At 47.2% G+C, this 7,298-nt stretch overlaps 1 protein-coding gene across 1 annotated transcript in view; it reads right to left on the bottom strand.

Moving 5' to 3' along the window:
• COQ9 (coenzyme Q9) overlaps window positions 1,082–7,298 on the bottom strand; it is a 13,792-nt gene continuing 7,575 nt past the window's right edge. The window contains exons 4-9 of the mRNA NM_020312.4: window positions 5,706–5,848; window positions 5,337–5,421; window positions 4,002–4,106; window positions 2,632–2,787; window positions 2,248–2,301; window positions 1,082–1,763 (exon numbers count right to left, since the gene is read on the bottom strand). Coding sequence (NP_064708.1) covers window positions 1,728–1,763; window positions 2,248–2,301; window positions 2,632–2,787; window positions 4,002–4,106; window positions 5,337–5,421; window positions 5,706–5,848 — 579 coding nt within the window. The 3' untranslated portion in view covers window positions 1,082–1,727. The remainder of the gene's footprint in view (window positions 1,764–2,247; window positions 2,302–2,631; window positions 2,788–4,001; window positions 4,107–5,336; window positions 5,422–5,705; window positions 5,849–7,298) is intronic.

Genomic DNA, 7,298 nt, shown 5'->3' with positions numbered 1-7,298 from the left:
TACTATGAAGCACTTAAAAAGAACTTGTACATCTATAGAAAAACAAAAGTATATTTTAATATGAATGTATATTTTAGCAAAGTATACCTGAATTATAAGTAAATACCCTTTCCCTTGCAGTCTCAAGTATGGACCATGCACTTCTGAAAACTTCAGGAAAAGATACAATGTTCTTTAACCTAATGCTTCCTCTACAGTCTGTGTAGCTGTGGTGGGTGAGTGGGAACTCTTTGTCTCTGCATCCCCAGTGCCTGGCAGTGGGCACCATGTGGGGTGCATGCTCAACAAAGAACTACTGAAGTCCCCTAAACAGACTGGAGAGAGGTTTAAATGGGCCTCAAAAAAAGTGGCTGCTGCTCCAACAGAGAAAAGCTCTAAAATAGAACGTGGCAGGAAATACATTTAAGAGTTGGGAGAAGAGTAACCAGATAAAGAGGAGTTTGCCTTTGCAAAGAGTGACACCTCTTCCTGAAACAGAGGGTGGGCACTGATGGAACCCTGCTCCATAACCTGTGTCATCTTGGTAAATTAAGAATTATGGTTGTCTGCTGAGTGTAAGATGGATGCTATGAAGGAAAAAGGAGAATGCAATGAAAACTGGAACAGCTACTGCGAAAACTTCACAGGATGTCAAGAGATACAAGGAATTGAGAGGTGCAAAAAAGATCCAGTGGAAGACCCACAAGAGATCTGAAATTCAATTAGTTGCTGACTTTCCCCCATTAATATTCAGCTGACAGGCAGAAGAGAGCAAAGCAGAAAACAGAGCTAACCAGACGTGCAAAGGGAACCCAGCCAGTGTAGAGGCTGAGAAAATTACTGGGGCTAAAGAATGTACCACTAAAATCGTCAGACAAGAGCAGCCAAGGGAGCTGATGGTCTGTGGGAAGGCTTCTGTTACCCGTATTTTACTGATGGGAAGACTTGAGCCCAGAGACGCAGAGGTACTATAATTACCACTATGTATTAGGCAGTGGCAGCGCCAGAACACAGGTCTCCTGGCTGCCATAACTTAACCTGTCTCCCTCTGGGGTCCTGGATACCTATCATGATTGATAAGGAAACTAACTACACAATGGGAAACTACTTCAAACATATTTATTATTTTTACAGACTCAAAATACACTAATAATCCTGCAATGCATGCTGGTGTCATGTGACACCAGGCCTGGAATCACACCTCTGTCCAGCAGGCACTTGTCTCAGGTGAGGCAGTTTTCTGAGGGGGCTCCCAGGAACAGCATCTCAGGACACCTGAGAGGGAGGGGGCTGCAAGGAACACCTCTGTGTGCACACGCCTGTGCTGTGCTGGAGATGAGCTGTCACCTTGAGGTGGCGTCAGACCTTGACTCTGGCTTGGGAGCCCCAAGGTTAAGGGAAGGTTAAGACATGATCAAGGTGCCCATGAGATTGTGACAGGGACATGCTGGGTTTCTGTGGCTTGACTGCTTGGATGAACATCTCATTTTTCAATCACACAGTTGCAGTGCAGAAAGGCATCAGGAGGCTTGGTCTGGTATTAGGAACTGAAGAAGCAGCCCAATCCCTGACCAGAACGGTAGCATCAAATGCCTTGTGGTTTCCAGGTGGCTGTGGTAGTGACTCAGGAGTCCTTTAGTGTGTTCTCGTGAACACCAGGTTATGTGGATGGCACCTTATACTTTTCAAAGCTCTTTCAATCTGTCCGCTCATTCTCTTCTAGGCATTGTAGCTTATACCCCTTCCTCTCACCGACGCTGGTTTAGACCTGTCAAGTTCTTGAGCTGACACGGGAATGGAAATAAAGAGAATAGTGAGGGCTTACCTTGCCTCTAGACTCTAATAGAAAAGACCTAGCTTTTCTTTTTCTCTTTTTTTTTTTCTTTTTTGCATAGAGACAGGGTTTTGCTATGTTGGCCAGACTGTCCTCAAACTCCTGGGCTCAAGCGATCTTCCCAAATCGCTGAGATGATATGCATGAGCCACTGCACCTGGCCAAGATCCAGGTTTGCAAGGTGGCAGGTGTGGCTATGATACAGAGACTTGATATACCAGGGTCCCAGGAGTCAGTGATATCTCCTGATGACAGGAAAAAATAAAGAAGTGAGGTTTTTGGAATCAAGACACTAGGGCTGAACCATTGTCAGCCTTATTATTAGATTATTGTTTCCAGGTTAGGGCTACAAAATGATGTGAAGTCAGTAACACATGTATCACAGAGCCGGAATGGGAGAGAGGAGGGGCAGGGATGTGCTGGGCAGTACTCACCGTCACTGCTGCACCCATGAGTCCTTGCACCAGTGCCTCTCCTGTGGACTTTACCTAGAAGGAGTCAGTGTCAGGTTCCCTTAGGCCACCAACACAAAGTTAAACTTGAGACAGGCAGGACAAATCAGGAGGCCTATGAGCCCCAAAAGGTGAAGACAAGGGGGCCACGTTACTGGAAGGAGAGCTTTGGACAACACAATCACAAATGCAAATGAGCAAAGTGTGGCTCTTAGGGAAGGGCTGGCCTGAGGAAGAACCAGCCAGGCCCTTGGGAAGGCCCTCAGGACTGTCAGCTGAGGCCAAAAGGGAGCAAGACCAGCTGTGACCTGAGGAGAATAGGTATGCCTTCTAAAGAGGGTTCCCCAATGGCTAGTCCCCACCTACCTGCTTGGCAGTGTGGCCCATGTTCATTGCATCATTAACCCGGTTTTCCAGGAAGCGCCAAGTGTCCTCAAAGTCTGGAGAGGAGTCCTGCATCATCACCAGCTCTGTTGTGTTGTAGATGGCAGCCAGCATGGCTCGGCGGGTGTACCAGTTAAACTGTAAAGAAACCCACACTACCGCTGTGGGCTGGTGCAAGTCTGAGGCAGTTCCTACCCAAGGCCATGGGAACTCCTGGGTTCCCTCTTGACTACTTCTTGACTGTCACAGATACATCTGGCCCTCTGGACAACACTACCATCTCAAACTTGACTGAGCATCAGAATTACCTACTTGATTAAAAATGCAAGCTCCTGGGCCCAACCTCTTAAGAGTAGAGTCAATGGATCTAAATAAAGTGCCAGGAATCAGGAAACTTAATAAGTATCCCAGATGATTTGGCTACATCCAATCCATTTTGGAACTGCTAGTAGAAAGCCTACATCTTAAGACATCTGAGTCCCAGAAGACGCTGTAATCAGCCAGCTATGACCGAACCTTGGTGTGTTCATCAATAAAGTGAGGGCTGAGAGAGGCTCATGGACAGATTACAATACCTGGGCAAAGCTGAGAGTTCAAGTCCCTCAGCAACTTCTGATTGTTCTAGCAAACTACTCTTCAGAGGACCAGCTCAGCTGCTTGGTGTTTTATTCCTTTAATTTCTTTGCTTTCTAATTTCATTTTCCTACCGTCTCTGTTGGCATTATATTCCCACATGGAGGAAGTTTATTAAAACACTTTGTTATAACTATGGTGGGAGTATTTCTGTGCCTCCTCATCCAGGATTCCACAAAGTATCATCACATTTTCTTTTATGAAGGTGTATTTTTTAAAATTTCCTACCAGAAATATGATAGCATTAACAAGTCGGATTCTTTCCTGGTGCTGTTTAAAGAGCCTTATTGATCACTTAGCAAAGCAGGCCAAGATGGGCTGGGGAAGGGAATTTCTTTTTAAAGCAATGGGTGCCTCCATGGCATTTCTTTTTTTCAAAAGAGGAATTTTGCTGCAGAATCTACATCTTAGGAGAGAGGGAAATGATAATAAAATGGCAGCCCAATTAGCTTTCGCCAATGCTAAAGGATCTCTGACACCTGGTGTCACCACAAGCTGGAAGAAATAATAACTGGTTTGTGGCTAGAATGCTGGTCCCTGAATGAAGATGACCTAGATCCCACTTTGGCTTCTTGACGGACCTTCCTCATACCTTAGATGGGAATGACACTGCAGCCCCCCTGCAGGGGCTTATGATCAAAGCAATTTCACAAGCTTCTTGAAGAAATGCTTAACACAAGCCTTTCCCAGCCTCCTGTGGGCCTGCAGAAAGCACTCACATCAGTGGACTGGTCCCCAGCGTAATGCCACATGTCATCCACCATGCTGGTGAGCAGGCTCAGGCTGGACGGGATGTTGTGAGGGAGCATGAGGATGCTGAGGGCCTGGAGAGAGAATGGCAGAGGAGTAAGCTCTGCTCACAGGTAATGGTGCATAGTTGACCAGCATCTACCTCTCCAAGAGGTGTATGAGGGGGCCTGCCAAGCTCTGGTTCTCTGAGACCAGCATCTTCACCCACTGGCGTGAGTTGTGGGCAGCTAGCAATGCTGACTACAGCTGAGGAGAGCCAGGGGCATAGCCCCGTCTTATGCAAGCCCAAGCACATTCTCCATCCCTAGCATTTGGAACTGGGAATGCAGAGGGCCAGAGGGTCTAGACTGGTCTAAGCAAGGATGGGCAAAGATACCCCAGTCTGTCACACAAAGGAAGAAGCAGAGATAGGAGTCCGTTCACACACATCAGCTCCTACTGACAAACAGAACAAGGTCCTTCCACTTTACCAATGCTACATCCACTGGGGAGGTGATCAGAGAGGTCCTGGATTGGCTGTAAGGTTTTCTCTTAGTGAAGCAGCCCAGAAGAAAACACTATGCTGAATCAGGAAGGCAGTTGAGGGCCTCATACGTGCACTTCCACTGCTTTAACTGCAAGGTGGAATGAGTCACACTCGGCCTGGGGTTAGGCACCACCATAAGTGTTCAAATGTCTATCAACTGAATGACTGAAACTACGTGCTTAGTAGTCTTCCAGCTGAGCAAAGGACACAAGATGTCTGAGTCCCTCTCACTTCGGGTGTACTTTCACTCTGTACTTTCTTCACTCAGAGAATGGCCCATACTGTGATATGCTTTAAAACAGAGGAAAAAGGAAGCTTCAGAAAAGGTGAAAAAACCCCTTGCAACGAATATGCCAGTCCCCAAGCATCACATTGACAATTGACAAATCCCAGTGCTCGAGATCTAAAATGCCACAGGGCTGTTATTCAAGTGAAGACAGCCAATAAAATCTTCTGACTCTTCTAACCTCCTGCATGGATTCCTCCTCCCTGCAGACCTGGTGGCACACTCAGACCACTAGGAGAACCCCACCCAGGATGGGATCCAGTACCCGGACCACTCACATTTCCAAGAACTGAGACACAGATGGCTCAGTCACTCTCTTTGGTATGTCCAAGTTTGAAACCCAGCTTTACCAAGTGTACTAAGTATTGTCGGGTTTATAGAGATTGAGAAGCTAAGTTCTGAACAGTGTACAAAGTCATCTGAGTGAAAGGTGCTGAGAATGATAAATATTAGGATTATTGTTGCTCTGGGGCCTGGATATAGACTTGGTACCCGGGGCCAGTGCTCAATGTATGGGATCAGCATTCTCAGTCTGGTTTCCACTGCATCCCTCAGGAACTGGTCTGTCTTCCTCTTCCTGGAAGAGGGAAAAGAAAACAGTGTGTCTCTGAGTGAAAGGCAGGGGCTCAGTGCTCCACGGTTTACTCAGCCCTAGGGAGGAGGGTCCCACCAGCTCCTGACGCTGGCCTGACTAAAGCCGTCAGAGACAGGCTGCCAGGTTTCAGTCCCATCACAGCAGCAGGGCTGCCCAATGCTGCTCTCTTTGGGTTCTGCTTGGATTGGCCTCCTGGGCATAGCTGGTAGGGCCCAAGTTCCCTGATCCTTAGCTGCCACCCTGAGTAGTAATGCCATGGGACTTACTCCGCCTGGCCCAACTGTACCAGCTTCTGCTCCTCTTCTAGCACACGTGTGAGCCGGGTATTGCACTGGGTCACAAAATGCAGTATTAGCTCACTGCCATCCTTCCCGAACATGCTGGCTGCTGCACTGGAGAGACCCAGAGACTACAAAAGGGGAGACAGAAAACAGAAAAGCGGTGCCCAAGTGTAGGGTACATTTGTTGCCTGTTCATCACTAGAGCCTCTTCCTAGTGACAGCAGCTTGATTTCTTCACTCTGGGTCCATGTGATTTTGGTGAAACTGACCACCACCGGTCCCTCCACCCTGCAAAGCCCCTTGGTGTGTGTGCAAGAGTGGGATCTAGGCTTGAATAACAAGTTCACAGAGACTAGCTCAGGGATGAACATATCAACAGGTCTTCTTTCTTTTTTAGAAACTAAGCCTGCAGCTGCTTTCTCCAACTTTGCACCTAACACATCTAAGGCCAGTCCTTCCAACTGTTGTCCAGATCCCACAATTCTTGCCTTCAAGGAACCTCATCCTCTTGATTTTGACTATTTTCTCTTGTAAATTCACCCTCACTCTTGTTTCTTTCTTTTTTCTTTTTACTTTTTTTTTGAGACAGTGTCTTGCTCTGTCACTCAAGCAGTGGCATGACTGAGGCCTTGACCTCCTGGGCTCAAGCAATCGTCCCATCTTAGCCTGGGACCACAGGTATGCGCCACCGCATCTGGCTAATTTTTAAATGTTTTTGTAGAGATGGGGTCTCGCCATATTGCCCAGGTTGGCCTCAAACTCCTAGTGTCAAGCAATCCTCCCGCCTCAGCCTCCCCAAGTGCTGGGATTACACATATGAGCCTGGTCCACTCTTGTTTCTGTACTCTTCCCATTTGTGTTCAATCATGTCCAAACTTCCATCTGTTTCTCCTGCTTGGTGCACCCTAGTTCTACCCCTCGCAGCCAAACGCCTCGCCACTTCCTCGCCTTCTATGCACACCTCGATCCACTCCAGTTGATTTCTGATCCAGTTCTCCACCCAAACGGTTGTTGCCCCAGTAACCAATGTCTAGCTGCTTAATCCACACTCTCCTGCTTTGCCTCCAACATCAGGATGCTCTGACTTAGACTTTGACGGCCCATCCTATTCTACTCTCCCCTTAAATGTCCGCGTTCCTTGAGAGTCTGGACTCCCCTCTCATATGACATTATATTCTTGCCCTGGACAATCTCACTGACTTCCATAATTATTTTATATATATATATATATATAAAATCAGCGTGCATATATATACTGTATATATATATATATATGCCCAAATGTGTATCTCTAGTCCAGCTGTTTCCTCCAGTTCCTGACCTGTATGCTTGATGCCTCCACTGGTTGACTCAAAAACTCCTCATACTCAACAAGGATCAAGACTGTACCCTTCCCCAAAGCTGGTCCTCTTCCAATGGCCTTCACCTTAGAAAACACCACCATTGGGTACCCACACATGCAAACTTGCAACTCTGGTGCCATCCTGTCACTCTCTCCCATGTCCAAGCTATTCCTGAACTTACCCACTGCCATTACTCTAAGCCAGACCACCTCATCTCTCCTGTATGTCTGGCAGC

This window comes from Homo sapiens, chromosome 16 (genome assembly GCF_000001405.40).
Source record: "Homo sapiens chromosome 16, GRCh38.p14 Primary Assembly".
In the NCBI taxonomy this organism is placed as follows: domain Eukaryota; kingdom Metazoa; phylum Chordata; class Mammalia; order Primates; family Hominidae; genus Homo; species Homo sapiens.
Note: the sequence above shows the minus strand (reverse complement) of the source record. Positions and strands in the feature narration are given on the sequence as shown.